At 35.0% G+C, this 24,343-nt stretch overlaps 2 protein-coding genes across 17 annotated transcripts in view, besides 1 other annotated feature; one reads left to right on the forward strand and one right to left on the reverse strand.

Annotated features, from left to right (window-relative positions):
• MGST1 (microsomal glutathione S-transferase 1) overlaps nt 1-24,343 on the forward strand; it is a 246,217-nt gene that overhangs the window by 211,386 nt on the left and 10,488 nt on the right. The gene's annotated exons all lie outside the window — the stretch shown is intronic.
• The window catches only part of LMO3 (LIM domain only 3), a 61,803-nt gene that overhangs the window by 10,129 nt on the left and 27,331 nt on the right, over nt 1-24,343 (reverse strand). For all 16 annotated transcript variants that reach the window (NR_045014.1, NR_045013.1, NR_045012.1 and 13 more), the window contains one exon: nt 1,913-2,038. Coding sequence is in view for 13 of the 16 variants with exons in the window: in XM_006719111.3 (XP_006719174.1) it covers nt 1,913-2,038 (126 nt within the window). In the remaining 3 variants the exon portion in view is untranslated. The remainder of the gene's footprint in view (nt 1-1,912; nt 2,039-24,343) is intronic.
• Nucleotides 3,881-4,926: an enhancer, noted in NCBI's record as "VISTA enhancer hs336". NCBI's record gives its function as "enhancer in: neural tube[4/7]" and the evidence as "EXISTENCE:transgenic organism evidence [ECO:0001131][PMID:17130149]".

The raw sequence follows: 24,343 nt of genomic DNA on the forward strand, positions 1-24,343 counted from the left end.
TAAAGGTGTCTGTATGGATGTGGGAATGTTTGTGTTTGTATATCCTTATCCCTACCAAAAACATGTGCATTTGCCAATTTATTTTCGTCTAAATGTTACCCTAGACTGAATGAACTTACTTTGATTCTCAGTACTTGCTGGGAAGAGTCAAGACATTGTAAGATAACATCTTACATGACTGTCTGGGTAACTATTACATTATAAGGTACATTAGGCAACAATCTGAATATCTACATTTAGCAAGAAACACTATTGTGATACATGCCTTGTGGGAAAGTCAAGTTAATGGAATATTATTTGGTAAATTATAAAGATAACTAACTTTTGAGAACCTGTTGTGTTCCTGACATTTAATATAAATTAATTATTTCATTTAAGTTTCAAACTCTGCAAGAGAGGTGTTAGTGTTTCTATTTTATGGGTGTGGGAATCAAATTCAGAGAGATTAAGTAACATACTCAAGATCACACAGCTAATATATCAGCTAATATATGGTGGTGCTGAAATTTGAATCCCGTTCTCACTAGAAATGTCACATTCTTTCTACTATTCTACAGGGTCTCATAAGAAGATTCTGCATCAAATAGTACCTTTCAGAGTAAATTACAATAACTGAGAACTTGATGCAACTAATATTTATTGATTATATACTCTGCCAGGTGTTCTCACAGAAAGTCAGTGAATTCATTTTCATTAAAATCTATCAAGTGTTCTAATTTTTGAAATGTTGTATTTTTAATACGTACATTTTAATGTTCTAAAATCCTCTCCATTTATCATATAAAACAGGTGCCAGTAGTATATAGTTTTCACAGAAATAAAAAATATAACTTTCAATAAGAAAAAATGGAATTAAGTGATAATACTTTTCAGCTGAAAGAATTCTCTGAGATGAACTAATCCAGCTTCATATGTTACAAATGAAAAACCTGAGGTCCAGAGAGGGAAGGTGTTTGTTTGGTTTAAGATCGCACAGCTTATTAGTGGCAGAGCCCATATTAGAATTTAGGTTTCCAGGTTCCCTGTTCAACACTTTTTCAAATGCTCCTCTCCAATGATAATAATTGTTTAATTATTAGCTATATCTGGACTGATTCTCAAAGATATTTGAAGTAACTGCAAAAGTACATATAGGACAGGGTTAAAATTTAAGGTAAACAGCTAGATTGGGTGGGGGTGGTGGCTCATGCCTATAATCCCTGCACTTTGGGAGGTGGAGGTGGGAGGATTGCTTGAGGCCAGGAGTTTGAGACCAGCCTGGGTAACATAGTGAAACTCCATCATCTCTATAAAAAATGAAAAAAAAAAAAAATTAGCCAGGCATGGGAGTGCACACCTGTACTCCCAGCTACTCGGGAGGCTGAGGCAGGAGGATTGCTTGAGCACAGAAGTTGAGGCTGCATGAGCCATGTTAGTGCCACTGCGCTCTAGGCTGGGTGACAGAACCAGACCTTGTATTTAAAAAAGCAAAAACAAAAACATGAGGGATAAGGAATTTAAAATATAAAAAATAATAAGAATATAAAATACCTGCAACAAATTCCTGTATATTTGCTTCATTGCCAATTTATTTACTCACATAAGTAGTATAAAAAAGTAGATATTTAAAACTACTTTTAAAAAGACAGGAAAATAATAAAAGAAGGAATGAGTAAAAGAAGTCAGAGTTTACGGTAGTGTTTCCATTTTCTGTTACTTGCTCTTATATGATGCTTTTCTTTCAGGTAGAAGTAAGTCTTAAGACCTTTCTTCTCCTTAGTAGCTTGTCTCTGGCATGGGATTAAAGTTTACAGAACAGAAAAACGCTGAGATTGATTGCTTTAAATGTATGAATATAATTTCCACCTATTAAATAAATAGCCAGCACAGAGAGGTTAACCATTTCTTAGAGACCAAAAAGAGACCTGCTTACCTCTGATTACAAAGCTGACATGCAAAGCAGTCCAGGTGGTAAACATTGTCCTTGGCACGCATCACCATCTCAAAGGCAGGGATGAGCTTACTACAGGCAGCGCAGTTTCCCGTTACACCAAAGAGCCTAGAATAAGAAACATTTTTTTTTTTTTACAAACTCTTACAGAGAAATCTGAGATCGTGAAGAGAGATGATGTTAATATACTCTGTAAAGCTACAATACACAATGCTTTATGATGTACACAAGTGGATTTTATCCTAGGTGTATGCATAAATATTCTTCTGCAATATATTCTCCGTTGACCTTCCTTGATGAAAATCACATCTTGTTTGAGAAGAAAAGGAAAAGACAAATACATTAGGAAGCTTACGTAACTGCACATAAACAGAAGTCAATGGGGGTGAATTCATAGCAAAAATCTCTGGGTTAGAGTATATAGAAAATATAAAAGCAATATAACTTTGCTCTTAATGTTATATATTAAACATTTTAGTTGGGAAAGGAACCAACTAATGAATGATTCACTACTTTTTGACATTTAGTTACTAAAAGGTTTGCCATTATTATTAAAAATACATTTATGAAGAAGCCATTTAAATAGTCAAAAAACATAGAGGCGCATGCATGCACCTTATGGCTCTATACCATAGTTATAGCTATGATTATGTTATTCAAGTAGCACATTAAAGTAAATGAGGCTGTAAACTATATATAGCTAGACCAGAAATTGAAGGATAATATACTGTCAGAACCACTGGAATTGTCTAGGATTTAAAAAAAATTCCTATTTGCTGCAGATTCCTGAGAATCGTTATTGTAATGACCTAAAAGAAGTACAAAATAAAATGTCTCTCATTTCATAACGTGAGGAAATATTTTATCCATTTGCACTGGCAATATTTAAACCAAGTTTCTTTAAAGTTGATAATGGAGGGGAAGAATTATTACAAATAATATTCCATGCATAGTAGTTAATGCACTTTTTTACTAGGAAGCAAACTAGATGAAAAACACCACATCTGCCAGTTTTCTTTTTTCTCCAGTGTCAGGCTGACAGGAGGAAAATATAATGGCTCTCATGGGAAAGACCAAATTAAAAGCAGTTCTAAACTAATGAATTCAAAGGTGCTATAGAGAAAACTCATTTTGGTTATAAAAATGTACTTTTAAAAACCTTAGCCTTTCATTTTATTGAATTTAAGGATTAGGCACAAATGTGCTGAAGTCTCTCATTACTTTCTGTAGACTCCAAAGAGAAGTCTTTTCTTAAGGCATGCATATTCATTTTCAAGTTTATAACTATTTCCTTTTACCAGGATAATGACAGTTGTTGGAAACAGTTGTGAGAATGGTTTCTAAGTGTCTGGCAAAATGTGCAATGAATGTTTATGCTCATATTTTTGTTGGATTGTCTCTTGAAGAGCATAAGCGCCTTGAAGGTAGAAACAATAAATGCATTTTAAAGACTTTGCTAACATAGTCTGTGCACTTGATAAAAAGTAAGCGAAGTTTACATTCAAGAAGATCAAATTCATAATTGTTAGACACTTATTTTCCTTAATGAATTAAAAAATACTTTAGTATGCTTATTTTAAGGACTATAACCCAAGTAACCTTCATGTTCTCCTTTTGTAATCTGTATTTTGATAAATAATATTTATTTAAAAAGAAAGAACTTGCTCGAAAATGTAATATCTTAATTTCCTACTGGCATCATCAAAAATGAAACCATCACCAACTAAAGCTTTCATCCTATTCATTTGTAAGGAGAATTTTTTAGTTCATTCTAACATTTCATATTTATTTTTCAGTGTACTTAACATGATCTGCTTAGGAGATCTGCTTAGGAGATCACTTACATGTGCCATTGTTTCTTCTGTTCTTTATTATTTTTGAGAAATAAGAAAAACTTAAAAGTTCTTTATTCAATGAATATAGATATACTTGTGTATATAACATCTGGTTAACATGCGATAAAGCCGTTTTTAAGAATTATTCAGTTTGTTCATATCTAATAAACATACACACAATGCCATTTTGAAATTCTGGACGTAGTTTTCCCCCATTTCAATTGCTCTCGCTAGCTGAGCATTTATCAGCTACCTGATTAGAATTTGTTTCCACACAAACCATTGATCATCAGCCTATTACTAGGCAAATGACAGTTAATTACCCACTACATTAACCACTGGGACCTGAGACCTGCTTCTGCTGCCATCAGTCAACATGATAAATGTGGCAAGTTCAGTAATGCATGGCCAGCCCTGAGCTGCCTGCTATACTGTGAACAACCCTCAATCTCACTTCCAGGCCCAGGAAAATCTATGGCAATCTGCATAATTACAAGCTCTGGGTTAATAACAGACAAATGATTTGTTGCATCTAAACAAAGTCCTTGGAATGGTCCGAGTCTCTGATGGCTGCCCGTACGGCGCACTGCTACCAGTGTACTTTCCACTACAATGTGCACAAAACAGTTCTCTGACGTTATAGCCTTCCAATTTGTTGCCCTCCAATTTATGGATTCTGCATATGTGATTTTTAATCATTAAAGGACTCTTGAAGCAATATTATCTTAATTATTCTCTGCTGTAACCAGGGAATTAGGCTTCAGATAAAATTTTCTTCTTCCACGCACTTTCCCTGCCTCGCTGGAGGCTCCATCAGTTTCCATCTACACCTGGACTCTGATATCCTAATGATGAATTATTGCCCCTTTTCCTAAGAGGGCGAATCTTACAAGGGAACATTTTACTGAACTGTCAGCTCACAGACTGAGTGTGGAGATGCGGAAATCTGATCTAATTTACTGCAAAGCGATGCATTTGTTAGACTTTTTCCTCAGTTTTGTCCAAGGATCAAGAGATCATTCTATAGCTACATTCGAGTTCTCTTTTTTCTCAGTGGGACAAACCCAGGATTCTCTGGGAAAATAAACAAAGTATTATTTTATAAAATGGGATTTTCAAATGTATAATGTTATCCTTTGGTTTCCAAACATGACATTTGGGTTTCGAGGCAAAAGAATTTTCATATATGTCAATTAAGCATAAGACAGGCATAGTTCTCCTTTGTAAGATTTTTTTTCAGATTGTGCCTAGGAAATATTTAAAAACAGTCTCTTAACTATCTAATTCATTTTGAGTACTCATAATCCTGATAATTCTTGTAACCTCTTCCTCTGCACTCTTTACTCCCACACTCGTTTATAAAGTTATCATAGATCCACTTTTCCATTTAAGCTGGAGATCCTTGTAAATTCTTGTTTGTAGTGCTTGTACAGTCACATCCTCTAGATAAGAGGGCCTAAGAGTTCTTAGTCGTACACTGAGACAGACAAAGCATTATTTTAAAAAGGAAGTCATTTTGAAATTTTGATCTAAATTAATCACAGCATACCAGCTTATACATTTACGGTAAGGAAAAAAATAAGCTCATTGATCTATTTTGCTCATTTTAAGATGTCTTATAGATTATTAAATCATGATACATGGTAATTTGCCAATTTATGGGCTAGATTTTTCCCTATCATTTATGTTCATAGTAGGCCTTAAGCAATATGACCTTTATCTTGTTTCTGACACACTTCCAAAAGTAGGCTTATAATGTAAAAGGTGACAAGTACCGGCCATACAATATCAGTGCATATAACTATTAATATCTGTAGAAATCCCAGAGATGTTTCTGTCCCCTTTCTATTCCATTTTTTTGCTTTCACTACCTCATTTTGTCTATCTAAAAACAGACATGAATATAAAAATCAAACAGACAACTTTCTAACTTTCTTAGGGGTAAGAACACGGCCTACCTGTATGCTGTATTACACCTGCCACACTGTAGTGAGCATGCACAGAGAAATATTTAATAACTTTTGTGTATGGGTGGCATTGCAAGAACTAAGACAAAACAAGTTTAGATGTTTTTAAAGGTGCCAGAACATTTTGCATTTTTACTAAATGTTCAACAGCTTCGGCAACATTGCCATAAAGCAAGCAAACTCTTTATGGTTTAGTGTATATCCATTTCTAACGTTCCTGCGGACTGGGGGTAGGGAAAAACTCAAGACATATACTCATTTAACATAGCAATAATGAATGTGGTTTACTACAGGCATCAGGGGAAAATGAGTGTTCATTGTATTAGTGTCTTTTATTTCACAGCACCAGATGTTTCTATAGATTTTTTTAACCAGGTCAGTGGCTCAAGTCACTAAATCAAATTCCTCCAAGCTATGTAAAGCATAGTATTTGACTCAAAGTAATTTAATATTTGAGGAAAATGCACAAATATGTCACTGCAGTAAACCTTAATTCTGAGTAAAGATCAGATCAGTAGTCAAGCAATCCTCATTTAATGAGATAAATATGCATAAATTTAGAAGTTATTTTATTTTAGAGTCTCACTCTGTCACCTAGGCTGGAATGCAGTGGTGTGACCATGAGTCACTGCAGCCTTGACCTCCTAGGCTTAAGTGATCTTCGTGCCTCAGCTCCCCAAGTAGCTGGGACCACAAGTGCATATCAACAGACTTGGCTAATTTTTAAAAAAAAAATTTGTAGAGATGGGGTCTCTCTCTGTTGCCCAGGCTGAACTCACACTCTTGGGCTGAAGCCATCCTCCCAACTTGGCCTCCCAAAGTTATCAAATTATAGTGTGAGCCACTATGCCCGGTCTAGTATTTGTTAAAATATTAAGGATAAGACTAGTTTAGTTATAATCCTATCTTTAAAAAAAACTATAGAATAACTACAGATGAACAGAGAAAGGAAAGTTTGGCTTTCGAAGACTATGAAATTGCAATCAATTGAAAAGATTTTTAACTTTTGACTGTTGGATGGAAAAGTTTTATTGAATATGTTTTGTGGGAAGGAATGAACATTTTCACAGATTGAAGGACAATTGCTTTTTTGTCTATTACAAACATGCTTCTCATCTACTTTCTTCTTTTACTTTTTCAACTAAGGAAGGTAGTGATAGAAAATGAAAACACTTTAAACATTCAATTCTTTTGTTTTCAACTTAAAAAGTTAGCCCATTACAGGCTGTAGAGAGTTGAGTCTATTGTTCTTTCTCTTTTTGGGTTCTCAGCATGTGCTCCACTGTCATAGAGATAAATGTATTATGAAAGTTAAAGAAAAGTAAAAAAGAAAACACTGAACATTTTAGAATGTACATATAAAAATATAAATGTTTAACATTATTTTGAACTGTGTTTCTAATTGTTGCAGTTAGGTCTACCACATATTAAATATTTTCATGGATGATTTTGAATTTTCCTGAAGTTAAGATTAAAAGGCTGAAAAAAGGAACACTGACACTCTGTTGGTGAGATTGCAAATGAGTACAGCCATTACAGAAAACAGTATGGAGGTTCCTCAAAAAAATTAAAAACAGAACTACCATATGATCCAGCAATCCCACTACTGGATTAAAAATCCCACTACTGGAAATCAGTATGTTGAAGAGATATCTGCACTCTCGTGTTTATTACAGCACTATTTACAATAGTCAAGCTATGGAATCAACCTACATGCCCATCAATGGATGAATGGATGAAGAAAATGTGCCATATATATATATATATATATATATATATATATATATATATATATATATATATATATAAAATGGAGTACTATTCAGCCATAAAAAAGAATGAAATCCTGTCATTTGTGACCACCTGGATGAACCTGGAGGGCATCATGTTAAATGAAATAAGCCAGGCATAGATGGAAAAATACCTCATGATCTCAGTCATTTGGAAGCTAAAATAAAAAGTCGACATCATAGAAGGAGAAAGTAGCATAGTGATTACCAGAGACTGGGAAAGGGAGCAGAGAGGGAAGGAGGAAGGGGAGAGATTGGTCAATGGGGCCAAAATGACAGTTAAGAGAAATAAGTTCTGGTGTTCTGTTATTGCACAGTAGGGTGACTATGGGCAACAGTAAATTACTGTATATTATAAAATAGGTAGAAGAGAAGCTTTTGAATGTTTTCAACACACAAAAAAATGATAAATAATGTATGAGGCGATGGGTATTTGAACTACCCTAATTAGATCATTACACAAAATATATATGCATTGAAACATCAGACTGTACCCTAGAAATATGTACCATTATAAGGTGCTAATTAAAAAAAGAAATTTTCAAAAAAGCTTAAAAGTTGACCATATATTAAAGAAAAGACATTTTCTATTTTAAAACCTTAGAGATTATTTATTTCATAATTAAATCTATATTAACTCTAGCTTATTTAGTTCAGCCTTTGTAAATAATATTTTTCTTTATTAACACATACAGATCATGCCAAAACAGAAACATAAAAGCCATTTGCTGAAAGTTCAACGTATAAATATATACATGTATAGTACATATATTCATTCTCTCTCCAAACATGCACATACACACATAATAGGCAGATACTACACTGAATGAAAAGGAAAGAGAAGAAGAATTAAGTTAAACTTACTAAGTGCCTAACTACAATTTCAGTAAAAAACTACCAAAAGCCCATGCTACATAGTCATATATATATATGTTAAAAACTACAACTTGGCACTTGAGGTCAGGAGTTCGGGACCAGCCTGGCCAATATGGCAAAACCCCATCTCTACTAAAAATATGAAAAATTAGCTGGGTGTGTTGGCAGGCGCCTGTATTTCCAGCTACTCAGGAGGCTGAGCCAGGAGAATCACTTGAACCTGCGAGGCGGAGGTTGCAGTGAGCTGAGATCGTGCCATTGCACTCCAGCCTGGGCAATAAGAGTGAAACTCCACCTCAAAACAAACAAACAAACAAACAAACAAACAAAAAACTACAACTTGGTACCTGAAATCCCAGCAATAATTCATGGTATTGAGAGAAAGCTGAGGTTCAATGAACCTTTTTTAATGAAAGTAGATGCCTACTACGTGCAAGGTACTTTGTGGGAAATGTTCAGTGGACTATGGGTGTGTGTTGCCAGGCAACCAGTGAGAAGGATAACTCAGGGATAGAATACGAGAAGTGCTCTACAATAAAGGGGAGGATGGTACATCACTTGGTAGGCTTGTGCTGGAGGACTGGGGAAGACAAACCAGCTGAAGCAGGACTTGAATGACATGGCATTTCACAAGTAGAGAACTGCGGGGAGCTGAAAGAAGGTCATCGTGGGATGATGTTAGAGGGTGAGCAGAAGCCTCTATGTGGTCAAGATCAGGGTTTATTTAAAGGCTATTTTTTAAATGACCAATATGGTAGTAGTCTGCTTGGTGGAGGTTAGGTGGAGTAGGTAGAGAAACCTACACAGCCTGGATGGGTGATGACAGCTTGGATGATAGAAGCTTCATGTTTGGTAAGTTGGTATTTTAAGAGAATCCTCAGAATATCATCCCTCTCCTACACTCAGGCAAAACTCCACACTTCCTTCAATCAGACAGAACACCACCAGGCAGCAGTGGGTGCTCAAGCCCACTCAGAGGGCTCACTCCTAAGATCCGCCAACCACTAGTTGGACTTACTGAGTAGCGATCATGATCTGACCCATTTTAACAACATGGTGGGGGTAATAAAATTACAGGTAAAAATTATCCCTGAACAGGAGGGAGAAAGAATATTTAACTGTTTGATTTTTTGGAATTCTTGAGATCTAGACTTAGTACTACACTGGCAACAATAGAAAATAAAAAGGAATACTAAAGGTGAGGAAAGAGATCTTGGTGAAAGTTATTGTCATCGGTTTCTCTGGGTATTGTATGTTAATGGAAACCTGATTTCCCATTAGAACTACACAAGACTTGTAAGAACCTAGCATTACAGAAGAATCAAGTCAAGCTCTGTGAATAATCTGTATAAAATACCTGCCATAAACAATTACAGAATCCATTCCAGTTTGAAGGTTGTGATTCAAAATAGATTGTTTTAGACTTGAGATACTCAGAGAAACATAGAAAACAGAAAAGCAATACCCTCCATACTCTGGATGTGGATCTTTCAGTTTTACCAAATGGCTGGTTTCTCCCCAACCTCCAATCCACTCATAATCCAAGCTAAGTACCCATTCACTTACTGTCTATTGCTGTGCTGACCAGCATTTTAGCCACCAGCCACATGTGGCTAATGACTACTTGACATGTAGTGAGTCTGAATTGAGATGCTCTAAGTGGGGCATATGTACCAGATTCCAAAGCTTAGCACAAAAAAGAAAAATATTTCATGAATAATTTTTGAAAATATTGATTACACATTGAGATGGTAATCTTTGGATACATTGCATTAAATACGTTGTTTAAAAAACTAATTTCACCTTTAAAACACTTTCCTTGGCTACTTTGGCTACTAGAAATATTAAAATTAATATGTGGATTACATTCTATTTCTATTGGACAGTGCTGGTCTATAGCTTCAGCTTTCTTTACATCCCTGGATATATGACAGTTATAACTTTGAAACAAATGGAGATCCAAAATTTTCTAACTGAAATCCATCCTAGAAATCTCTCTTATAATGTTCTAAGCTTAAAGATAAGAAAAAATACAGGCCAGAGACATTTTTTTCTAACTTGAAACTTAAAAATATGTATGCTAATAGTGTGAATCATTATAGCTCTCTCATAATCTGAAATAGATGACAATGCCCCACCTATTGTTCCAGTTTCAGGCTTACTCAGTGTTAATTCCTTTCTAAACTTGCCATTTCCTGCTCCATGAAGACAGCAACAACAATATGTAAAGAAAAATGGGTTGACGCTTGGGCTAATTGGCCCTGTCTTAGCTCTGCTATAGAGAGCAGAAAATATCCCATGTCTACACACAAAACCTTACACAATTATTTAGTGTCAGAGCTAGCAAGAGAACCTATATCCCTTATCCAAATTTGTTTTTCCTTCTCACTATACTTCTTTGTTTTTCCCTGCAAAAATGGGGCAAGAAGGGGTTGTTTTGAATAAAAGTCTCTAGGTTTCTGGACTGACAGAGGGTAATGGCTGGTCTACATAGAATCATCATGTCTCTTTCTACACCTGACTCTTAAAAGTTGCAAACAGTGTTTAAACATTATACTTTCCCTTTCAACAAATAATTGTCAATTTCTTCTCATACCCATTTTCCAAAGCCTTACGAGCAGGTGTTACTGCTATTTATGATCAGCACAGCAGCCTACTGGGAGAAGCTATGCAGAGAAAAGTAAAATAGAATGTTTTTCCCTTAACATTTGATGAGAAAAATATTTCCAGGCAAATATGGCAATTGTACCAACATTTCATAGAATCACAAAATCTTCGATCTGAAAAGAATCTTTTGTTGCTAGAATAAAAGAAATGTGTCAAGCTTGCTATTTATTGTTTTGATATTTAAAAGACAGGATTTTTCAAACTTTTAGACATAGTTATGGAAAGAACTAGAGTATTAAAAGGGAGAAGGGAAAAAGAAACAGTAAAATAAAGGATAACACATATGTACTAAAACAGAAATATTTTAACTATATCTTTAAAGTAATAGAAACAAATATTTTATCTAATCACTATAGCTCCTTGTTCTAATTTTAAGGTAAGTTTATAATGAAGGAAAGGCCAATCAGCCACAATTATACGAGCATAAAAATCTACAACTATTTTAGATATCGTGGGAAATTTAGATACTACACATCTCTCCCTTGATATAGCTCAGGAAGCTGCTAGTTTCAGCCACAGTACAATTAATGCTAATTGGAATATGCTTTACACAATTTCATAATAAAAGCTTTTAAGAATTTTTTGTGATAGTCTATTCTATAATGAGTTTCAGAAAGCTTTGTCTACTTAAAATTGAATAGGGTTTTCTAGGTGAAACTTTTTATGTAAGTAATACTTTCCTAAAAATCGGCATTGAAGTCTTTTGATATCTTTACAGACTTCTTAGAGACTCATAATTACCTTCTTTTCTATCTTTCTTTTTCATCCTTTTCTTTCCATACACTATATATAAAAGTGAACAAGAAATTAAGTGGAGAGGTATCTGGTTTGAAAATATTTTTTTTTACTCATCTCGTAATTAAGGCACTTCAAATACTGAAATTTTCAACAGAAAAGAAAAATAAAGAAAATGAAAAGAAGCATTATAGGAAAATGATCATGGTCATTTTGTGAACAGTTGGGAAATAATCCTGGGAATGACATTTTCTTAGATCTTTGTCAAATAAGCCATTTAATGTTTTCATGTGTCAATTTCACCATCTTTCCAAGAGCCACTTACTCACTCAGGCACTAACACAGGCTTAGCAAAGCTCCACTGTGAAACACGAACGAGTGATTGGTGTAATCTGGACTGCAATGCAAAACTCACTTGTTCTGATGTAAAGGATATCTTTTATATCCAGAGATTGTGATTTAGTGACAACAGTCACCTGATTATTCACAAAAAGTTATCAAATCACTTACCTTGAATAGGTAAGGTATTATTTAATTCTTGCAGCTAGCCAGTAAATTTTCAGATGATCAAACATTTCTTCTAGGGTTAATTATTATTACTTACTTCAAGAAAAAGTGCTGTGTAGGAGAATAATGTCAACCTATATAAGAATCTATTATCAGCATGGCACATGTATACATATGTAACTAACCTGCACATTGTGCACATGTACCCTAAAACTTAAAGTATAATAATAATAAATTTTAAAAAAATCTATTATCTACAGTTTAGTTTGAAATTTTATTTAATATTTTATCTTACCTCGTTGAAGAAACAACCTAACTACTAATGTTTTCTTTTAAGGTAAGTAGCAGGGTTTGGGGCATTGTGTCACCTATTGTATAAGTTAAATTTTCCAAAGAAAAGGGATGCAAAAAGTGTTATCACAGATATTCATCCTTGTATTTAACTAAGGATATTACGTTACAAAGGCATCAGTATTTTATTGTACTGAATTTCTTTGACATAAGCACCTAAGATTCATGAAGCATATTCTATTTGGTCACTTTTGTTAAAGTACTTTCTGCAAAGCAAATTTAATATCCAACACCATTTATCTCATTAGTATAAATAGTATAAATATTTGTTTTCAAATTCTTTAAGAAGGTACTCTAAACACAATCATTTGAAAAAATATATAGATTGAATATCTCTAAAAGCAAGGGTATTCATATGTCACCATTTTTCTAGGACAATCCTGGATATAAACCTGTTGCCTAGTCTATATACTCATGTTATCTTTATCAAAAATGTCCTGGGTTGGGTAGAAAATTATATGGCAACCCTAGTAATAGCCAAAGAGCAATGAGAACTCAAAGGTTTCACAATTTCTGTTCTTTGGTTCCTTCACTGACTCAAATATGCAGATTGAATTAAATACCCTTTCAAGATATTTATGTAATTATAAAATTCTGTGATTCTTCATTCTAATCAAAGTGTAACTGGATCATTCAGCTAACACTAATTTAGAAAATCTGACTTAGTTTTCAGACTGAACTTGTAACATTGTCTTAAAACTCATTGAAAAGGGAAGGCATATAACTTTTATTTAATATAAGCTAGTATTTAAAATACATACACATTTTTTAAATTTGTGAATCCTTAAAAGGATTTTTGCATTGCCTCAAAGTGGGATTTAAGAGAAAAATCCCACATTATCAAAATAAAGCCATGAAAGCAATTATTTGTAGGATTAGATGAACTCCTTTTTGGAATAAGAAATTAACAAAAGGAAAGAGATTCAAAAAGACAAAATGGTATCCTGCAAGAAAAAGGTACATTTCATTAGTATTAATTTGTTAAAACTTGATGCTTTCCATAATAAATTACCACAACTCTCAATCCAGTATTAAGAAGGAGAAATACTAAAGTTGTACTTTTACGTAGTAAAGCTCTACAGAAGGAATTACAATAAAACCTGTAGATTACATATTTATATGTTCACATACAATATTGTTCATAAACATTCTCTATGTTTTCTGCATAGTGGTCCAAACTCTTTTTTTTTTTTTTTTTTTTTTGTAAAGAGCTGTTTCTACAGTGCTGACTTTAATTAACGATTTTAGAATGTGTATCTATCTTCTTTATTAAAAAAAAAACAGAGCTACTAAGCTATTTCCTTTATTGGGTCACCTTTAGGACTTATTATTTGAAGTACTTCTTAGAAGCTGCTATGCCAAAGTGCCTAGAATTTTAACTGTTTCTCAAACAGATCTAAAACTGGATGTCAAACCCTTCATAAATAGAGTATGTGTTAGGGTGTGTAATATCCACGTATATCCAACTTCTAACTTGTAAAATATATTTAAGTCAGTTACCTCTGACTTAAATATATAGATTATATATATAATTTAAATATATTATATATAATTTAAATATATTATAAACCATATAATGCTCTGCTCACTGTTAATAAACTAAATATTTTTGTAAAAAACAGAGACCAACCACTTTGGGAAAACCTGTTCACAAAATATAGGTTAAAGTAATTTGCTCTAAGGATACTACATTAAGGCCAAACCTGCTAAGGTATTTGATATGAATTTATTCACCTAATTTTTAACAGTTTGATAACAGCAAGTGGATATAAAATTGATCATCAAAATAGGAAATTATAAATATGAAATCCACAATGCTTGAAAGTAGAGATTTTTTTAAAGGAGTGCAATTCTTAAAATTTTCCTGTTTTTATTATGTGTTTCTCTATCCAGATACATCTTATAAAAGGAAAGAAAAAATACCTTTTTTTTTTCCTATGAAAGTTAGGAGTAAGCCACTCAGTCAAATCACAGATAGGAAAAAACATTAAATAAATATATTCCAATGTCTATTCATAAGTGCCCCGGACAAAAACCTCATATTAACATATTATTCATATAAATACTATTTGGGGGTTTAGAGAGAATATTGAATAAGGCAGGTCCAATTTAAAATCATTAGTGAATGAAGTCAGATATAGTTGAAACAAAAATTTTGAACTCAGACATATTGAATATTAAAAACATGAGGTACTGGAATCATTTGACAGCTGATATTCAGTGGTAACCAGCGGCCCTGAAAAGACAACTTAAAAGATATTTGAACGCGTGTGTGCGTGTCTTTCTATGTGCTTGTGTGTCCACATGTATAAATAAAGTACTAACCTACTAGTTATCTCTTTTTACTCTCAGCCTGTCAAAAAAACCTGTCAGCTGCAAAGGCGATAAGGGGGGCAGTTAAAAGAAGATACTGGAGCCTTAAGCTTCTTAATGTGCCAAGAATCAATCCCATGAAAGCAAACAACTTGAAAAAGGGTTATACGTATTTAGGAAATCTCTGAGGCTCCCTTCCTGCTCTGCTCGAGCTGGAGCGAGTGCTCAAGTTTTCTCACCCTAATGACCCCTGAAGCAGCCCTGAGGGATTGCAAAACAAGGCCGTTACACAAGGCAGCTTGCTAATTGAGAAGTTGATCGGGGGTAGAGAAATCCTGCTTTACCACGTTAAGTGTCGAAATCAAGCATGACTAGATTGACGTCGCCAAATCACCGTCTGGAGGCCACTCCACGCCAGGAGCAGCAGGGCTTTTCACACCTGATAGGCCCTCACTCTATCTACATCAAGTCACATTAAGAAAGGAATGTATTACGGAACTGGAGTCCGTGCCCCTCAGAGCATTACTCCACTGCCTAATTGCTGCTTCTCCGCTTCCCCGCTTCCCCGAAGTAACAAATGTGTCCACGTGGACCTGCAGCTTACCTGATCCCTTTGGAAAACCAACCTTCCTCCACCTACTCTGCCGATTTGCTCCATTATAAAAATGCAACACCACCAAGACCCAGAGTAAGTTAGAGGAAGACAGTAGGGCTAGAAATTTTGTATTACATATCTCGATCACATTGATTTAAATTACAGGGACCTTGGAACAATGTATAAACGATGACTCTTTAAACCTTTTATTTTTAAATGAAGTTGCAGATGCAGGATGTCTGATCAACGAAAACGCCTGTCTCTCGGATAGTGATTTAGACACCACACGGTGTGCAGAGAGGAGAGACCTTCTGCTTTTGAACTTTGAGTCCCCAGTCACGGATTTGCTGCTCTCCAACCTAAAATCTCCTGTGACAGATGGCATAATAGATATTCCCAACAGCCCAGACTAGCAGGCTGATATTACTTGGTATTTTTTCTTATAGTCTTTCTGACAGGTTCAAAGCACTTAACCAATGATGTGTTTTAGGTAGGGGATAAAAGGTGACTTAGGAACTTTCCCCCTATTTGTACCACTTTTTAAATTTTAAATCTCAGTTTTCTTACTGACACAATGGAGCTAATTCCTATCTGTGCTCTGTTAACTGCAAGACACATAAAGAAGAAAAATGGCTTGTTTCCAACCGCAAAGGATTTATCGGCCATTAGAAAAGAAAGTCTTCTATAAATCTGTAATAGAAAAATTAATCCTTACCATACATTTTGAGAGGTGGTAGGTGGCATCCATTCTGTGAGTGGGGAAACAGAAGTATAGAGAGGTAGCAGTGACATGTCTAAGATCTCATAGTCATTAACAGCAGTGATAGAAATCTGGCCGAGTCCGAGTCTATGTGTTCTGATACCTAGAAGGGTGCTCCCTACATAAGGCACCTCCTTTCTTACCCTCAATTGAAGTATGATACATAGTATGACAAACTAGTAACAAAAAGAAACAAACACAAAACACACAAAAGAAAAGGTGTTTTCGTTTGTTTATTTTTACCTAGAAAAACATAACAGGGCAATCTACAGTATTATGTAACCTGGTACTGACTTCCAAGTTATAATCTAAACTTAACATTATGATGTCCGTCATGTTTTTATAAAAAGCTCCCTATTCTCTTTTGCAGCTCAAAATTCATAAATAAACCCATATGAATAAAACCCCACTAAAATGGAAGCTTTGTTTATCTTCAAAAATATAGGCATAAGGTCAATTTCCACACACTAAACGTCATACTGTCTACGAAGCCTTTTTAATGGAAAAAGCAACTAAAAGACCAAGTCCTCTCTGATAATGATACCTCCGCAAATTAGACAAATTAGTCCAAAGATTTCCCTTTGCTTACATTTTAAAGAAACATCTGAAATCAATATCAATACGAAATTTGGTCAATTATGTAAGGGCTTAGTGTATAAGAGCTAATGTTTATTGAGCCCTGTCTCTGTACCAGACACTGTTCTAAGCATTTGACACGAGTTATTTCATTAATCCTCAGGACAACTGAATGAGGCAGGTTTATTCATCCATTTTATGGATGAGGAAAATGAGGCATGCAGAATTATGTAATACACCCAGCGTCACATAGATAGATAATAGGAGAGCTGGACTCCACACACTGAGCCATTTAGGATTTCCCCTCTTGTGTCAAGAGAACAACAGAAGGAGCCTCAGAGGCTATTCACTACTACCTCTTAAAGATCACTTTTCATGTCCTGACCTGTAGGAAGTGCTTATACATAAAGCTAAATTCTTCACTTTCTACTCACCAGGGCCTTACAGTCTAGTTCTCCCTACGTGACATCCTTCTCTTCTGCAGACTACATTACCCTCCCTCTCCCCATGTTCAATGCACGTAGAAATGAATGTCGGAACATTTGCAAGTCCCTCGAGCCACAGGTCTTGAACTTAACTTTGAATTTGCCTCCTCTTCTCAGACCCCCAAATCTAGCCCTGCCGCTGTGTTAAAAGGGGATCTGTCCTCTTTTGTCTCAGTAAGCTACTTCTAGCGCGCATCGCTTCTCCCTTGCACTCATACTACAACCTCCCAGCTGAACATCTTTCCACCAGCCTGCCCTGCCCTGCTGTCCGCCTTCCACTCTGCAGCCGGTAGCCTTTCTATAACACAGCTCCAACCCATTGATCCTGCTTATAACCTTCCATAGCTCCCCTACTGTATGCAGGATAGATGCAGGGAAGCATGAAAGGTCCATCCTGTCTGTCTTCTTTTCTGTCTTCTATCCCATCACTGAGCCTCAGCCCCAATGTGCTGTCTACTCCCTGGACTCAGCATCTACTTTCACACCTGATGTCCTACCACTCCTGCCTGCTGAGTTCCTACTAAATCTATTCTTCCTGGAAGACTACTGCTGCTTTTTTTTCATATTCAGATCAAATGTCAATGGATCTATGAAGCCTCTCTGATTTCCTTGAGGCAGAATAAATAACACACTTCTTTAGACATTTAAGCACTTGTTTTCATATACTACTTCATCTTTCAGAATCTGTATCAGTTACGTACCTGTTTGTCTCTTTCTCACTACATAATAAGCTCCCTGAAAACTTGCCTTCTCCTTTACTCTGCACCTAACACATGTGATGTTCATATGCTCCATAACTGCTGAATTAGAATGTAGAGATATATAAATGGAAATTAACATTCTTGCATTGTCCAACTATATAGACTGCATACAGGGATTTTACTTATGACCCCTAGATTAGTACCATCTATTTTTAAATACCATTTTAAATTCAGTGTACAATGGACATAAGACCTGTAGGTGGAAGTCAAAAATAAATTACTTAAAAGCTGTTACAAAGAAATGATTATACCACCCTCCCCACGTTCTTTCCTAAACTATCTATTTTAGAAATAACCCAATAAGGGCAAAGCTATATGAGTAAAACTACACTGGAAGCTTGCTAGGCAACATGAGAATCTACTTGCTGAAACTTAGCACCAATTCCATCTGTCTTTGATCACACTCAAGATGGTTTAGGTGCCAACACATCAGAATTCTAATATTAGCAGATGCAGAAAACTTGTGACTGGTAACATCTGTATCCCTCATATCTAGTGATATTTCTTTACCATCATTACCCCATTACTCTAAAGAGTTAACAAACAGCATGATATTATATACCTAACTTAGGCAGACAGTCAGAAGGTGCACCAACACCCACCTGAATTCTGAAAGGCCGTAAACTTTCTTCTTTTTAGGATCATCTCCTAAATTTCCTTTTCAGCTTCTAGGACCATCTCTTATCACAATTCTTCCATGAAGGCCTCCTAAATAAGCTGAGTTATTAAAATCACATTTTCCTAAGTAGTTGGCAGTTATTCTTCATTATTTTCATCATATAGGTTGTCATCTTATTGCATTTATTTCAGCATTCCTAAATATATTATTCTACCCCACTCCCTCCTTCTACCCTCCAGTCAATATTTATTGAGTACCTATTATCAGCCAGATTTTCTACTAGATGTTGTATATAATAAAACAAATAAGAATTTCCCCTGTTCACAAAACGTTTGTGGTATAGTTTTGGAAGAGGACAAGTAAGAATAATAACAAACAAACAGAAAGGACATTCTCATCTCATAACAAATCATTCTGCACACATCTAGAGGAGAATTTTTTTCCTTAAGGCAGTAATTTCCTCATTTCACTCATCTGTTCAATAACTTACAATGGCTCCATCTCACCAACATAATAATATTCAGGTTGCCCATGATGGTTCTCTGGATCAATTTAACAGGGCCACAGTTCTTTCTAACTTTCTTCTAAATGTGTCACCTAATTATGGCTGCCAGATTTAGGATCACAAATTATTTTATGTGACATTTTTAGACTAAAATAATTATCCATTATTTATCAGAAATTTGAGTTTACCTGGGTATCCTGTATTTTGTCTGGCAACACTACAACTAATTCCACCATCTCATTTGGAATTAGATGTACAATGGACTCCAGTCCTCAGTAGGCAACAACTTTCATAAGAAATATATTCTGTCCTCATTGCTCACGGCACCTCATCGCCTCCCAGAAGTCTTGCCAGGCAACAGAGACTGAGTTTTTCTTTAAACTCATAGTTTCATGAAACTTAGAAAATGTTAACTAACTACCTAAAGTGACAGTACTGCAATTTTCTCAAATTCATGTACAATGAATGTTTAGGGGAATTCTAAGAGAATTTTTTCTTCCAAAGCTTGTATAAACTACTCAAGTTTGAGAACAATTGTATTTTACTTAGCTTACCTGAACAATATAAATTAAAAATAACTTCCTACTTTTAACTCTACATGGGGTAGAGGGAGAAAGGGGAGGGGTCAGGTAGAAGGGATGGAGGAACAGGGAAGAGAAGAAGCAGTTGTGCTCTCTTTGGAGTAGATGGTCTCAGGCTGGCCCATGCTCAGGTCTGACCTTAGGTATAAAAGTTTCAAAGTATTAAAATAAAAATCACATTAGGCCGGGCGCCGTGGCTCATGCCTGTAATCCCAGCCCTTTGGGAGGCTGAGGCGGGTGGATCACTTGAGGTCAGGAGTTCGAGACCAGCTTGGCCAACATGGTGAAGCCCCATGTCTACTAAAAATACAAAAATTAGCCAGGTGTGGTGGTGCATGCCTGTAATGCTAGTTTCTTGGAAGGCTGAGGCAGGAGAATTCCTTGAACCTGGGAGGCGGAGTTTGCAGTGAGCCGAGATCGAGCCACTGAACTCCAGCCTGGGAGACAGAGCGAGATTCTGTCTCAAACAACAACAACAACAACAACAACAACAACAACAACAACAAAACATTAATTCACTAGAAGAATATATTCAAGGAGAAATAATTCATGGTTCTATACTTAACAAAGTCTCACTTGAAATAAAAAGAAAAGAAAAAGTTCTTTATTCTAATGAAGTATATTGCATTGTTAAGGTCTAGTATATTACATTTGTACACACTCTTGACAGACTGTATCATTGCAAATAGGTGACCTTTTCCAACCCAAACACTCTCTAGAGCTTAGTTTTTTAAAAAGGCACTGATTATAAAGGTCATAAACTTCCACAGGGATTTTTTTTTGAAGAGAACAACATGTTTTCTCTTCTAGCATTAAATTGTATATATATATTCCCTTAGATACACATAATTTAGATATTTAGGGTAACCGTCATTAAATGGTTTGGCTGTTTTCCAATAGAATTAGGAAACCAAGAACAAGAATTGTCCAAATTTGTTCAGATAATTATTACCAGAAAAACAATAGCTGTGTTTCACAAGGAGGTCTTTGGTGAGCCTCAGAAAAGAAGTAAAATCAAATGTGCCTGATGCCACTGATGAGAAACAATTTTTTTGGTAGGATTTACATAACCTTCCAAGTTTACATTTAATTGACTAACAATTTGGTGATGGTATATCAGTAGCTTAAAAGCCAACGCAGATGTATAAGTGAATAGTTCCCTTGCTTCTTATTTGTCGGCATTATGGCCTAATAATTTGAAAAAAAGATTTTAGAATCTTAGCCAGGGTAATGGCTCTAAGTAAAGAAAGATCACGTTGGTGGAATCCTTTAGTTGAAGTCTTACTCAGTAGGAAGGCTGAGGCTGCCTCTTCTCTCTCAACCCCACCTAGCCTACTAGGCACTCAGTAAGAATTCAGAAAATTTTTATCTTGTTTTTCCAGTAGAAATAGCATTTCAGAATGACCAATAGATTCAGTGGCCGAGTGAATGCGATACTTTACAGAAAAATACCAGCTTATAAATGTAGAAGTGATAGGATGACAATCTAATTTTTCAACCTGTACTGATTTAGATAATGATTATCCATTGTTATTTATACCCACTAGGTTTAATTGCCAACAGAGAACCAGGTATCTGTTGGTATTTAAGTAATGTTGCACAGGGTGCTTTCTGGTCACAATGAGAAAGGTGTAACTGTACAAAAGCAGGATCAGTTTATCATCTCATGATCAATTTAAGTGTCACAAATAGTGAGATAACAGATATTATGTATTTCCTGATATTATACAATATGATATCATTTATCATGTATTCTAAAACAAAATATACACCTACGTTATTTTTATTTTTTAATAGAGATGGGATCTCTCTATGTTGCCCAGGCTGGCCTCCAACTCCTGGGCTCAAGTGGTCCTCCCACCTCAATCTCCCTAGTAGCTTAGACTACAGGTGCATGCCACTGCTTCTGGCAATATCTGAATTTTGTCAATGTTTAAAGCAACTTCTGTTTTACTGGGAGCACTAGGAATAGAAGGATCAAGAGCAAAGACACCACAAGGATGCAACCAACCAAATGAAGTAGGTGAAAAATTTTAGAGGACCACTTCTATGGTCTCTTTAATAAGTGAATGTCATGAAAATGACAATGTTCAAGATTAAGAGAAACTTCATAGACATGACCATCAGATGTAAAGTGAAATCTTGGATTGGATCTTGATTTGGAAAACCTTTGGAGGACTTTTCTGGGGACAACTAGAGAAATCTGAACAAGGATCAGGTAGTAGATTATATAAAATTTCACTAGCATGGAAAAATGTAGATCATAGTCTAAAAAATTAGGTTACAAAACAGAATGTAAATACAATCTCAATTTGATAAAAAATACATACATGTGCATAAATACAGGTAGAAAAAGATTTGGAATGATGAATAATTAGAGCAAACATTAGTAGGTTCTGGTAGAATCATGGTGATTTTGTTACTGCATTTTTGCTAATCTCTATTGTTAAATTTTTCACGATGTTCTTATAGTTGCTTTGCAATAAAAGCTTTTATTAATTATACAAAGAAACAGAATTGACCACTGTTAACACCTTATTTGTTTTAAATCTATTATGAATAAGTATACTGTGTATTGGACATGCTATATACAACACAGACATTCAGTCATCCCTCAAGTTTATGTTTGTTGTGCTATTTTATAACTAATGTTTTGATGAAATTGCAGCCACTAACAAATTTTTTTCTAATCTACAATTAATCAACATTGTAAATAGTTAGGTACAAGAAAACCATTGGTTATCTGGAGAGAAACAAAGGAAGTTCATCAGTGCTTGAGTTTGAATGATTGAAAATTCAATTACAGATGACAGGATCAATTTATGGGGACCTCGGAGTAAGTCCCTGAAGCCATGTCCTCAGTCACTAAACACTAGAGTACAGCTCATAAGGATGGGTTCTGGAGTCAGTCACACTGTCTGGATTTGAATCCTAGCTCCATCACTTGCACCTTGGGAACTTTGACTAAATGACTTAATTACCCTCAGCCTCAGTGCCTTCTTCTCTAAAATGGGTTTAATAATACTGTAGTTCCCAAGGGCTAGAGGAGATTACATCTGTACAGCACTTAGCACATATATAACTCATTGAGAATACCTGAAAAATAATACTAAAATATAAGATACATAAAGGCAAATATTTCTGTCCATTTTTTTAACTGCTGGAGCCTCAGTTCCTATAACACTACCCATTATAGAGTAAATCCTCAAGAAATATTTGCCATGATCTGAGTTTCATTCTGTTGACTTTCTTTCACAATGTTAAAACAAACACTCAAAATTCCATTGCTATTATAACAGGCTTACCATCAGTCTCATTGAGATTTTTCTGTGATACTTATCTAGCAGGGAAGAACAGAAAAATAGAGGACTTTTTTTTCAGCAGAGTTTTCCTTTAAAAAGATTTCTTCATATGAATGCTGAACTCTAAAGCATATATATTTTAATAATTGTATTACTACTCTTTATTAATTTCTTTTATATTCCTAACAAGCTATTTTTGGCATAGAATAAAACTATAAATTTGATTTACTTTTTTATTTAGCTGCTATGCTAAATGTACCTATTTCTTGAGTTTTCTCGATTTTCTGCAGATAAAATAATTATCTTTTTTACTATTTATATTTATTTACTTCGTTTTCTTATCTTATTACATTGGCTAGACCCTTTAAAACATTAAATATGAGGGACAATAATGAGTATCCCTGGCTTTTTCTTGGCTTTAATGGAAATTACTTTAGTATTTAGCTGTTTTATAAATTTGCAGTTAGGTTTCAGTAAATTTTCTTAATCATATTTAACTGGTTTCTTCCTGTTTCTCTTTATTTGGAAGTTTTGAAATGGCTGAATTTTATCAATTGCCTTTTTGGTACAGACTGCCATAACTATGGTGTTTCTTCCTCCAGTTTGATAATACAATGAATTAGATTGAGATATGTCCTGGTGTTCATTCTCTGAATTCTAGAAAACATCTTACCTGTTCCTATAGTATTATTCATTTTAGACAGTGACAGACTATTTGCTAATATCTTTCAAGTTTTTGTATCTGTATGCAAAAATAGCATTAGTGTTTTATATTTTATATTGTCTTTATCAGGTCAAGGTACTGTATTAGAGTTATGTTAGTTTTGCATAAGCTGCTTTACATATTTTGAACTTAAGCTTCCTGTGTAACACTTAATTGTGGATACTATGGAAGTGGCTAGATATACATTGCTTAAGCTTGTTGGAGAGTAATGGGCTACGGGTAGAGATTGAGCCATCACAATAAGAGGAGGGATTGAAACCATGAGGACAAATAACATCTCCTAGGAAAAATAAGTATACCACAACAAGATCACCGTTCCTAGGTACGGTCCCTCACTCTTTTAAGTATCTGATTGGGATGAGACGCCCAGAAAAGAATCAGAACTAGGCCGGGCACGGTGGCCCATGCCTGTAATCCCAGCACTTTGGGAGGCCAAATTGAGTGGATCACCTGAGGTCAGGAGT

The sequence above is a fragment of the Homo sapiens genome, chromosome 12 (genome assembly GCF_000001405.40).
Source record: "Homo sapiens chromosome 12, GRCh38.p14 Primary Assembly".
Lineage (NCBI taxonomy): Eukaryota > Metazoa > Chordata > Mammalia > Primates > Hominidae > Homo > Homo sapiens.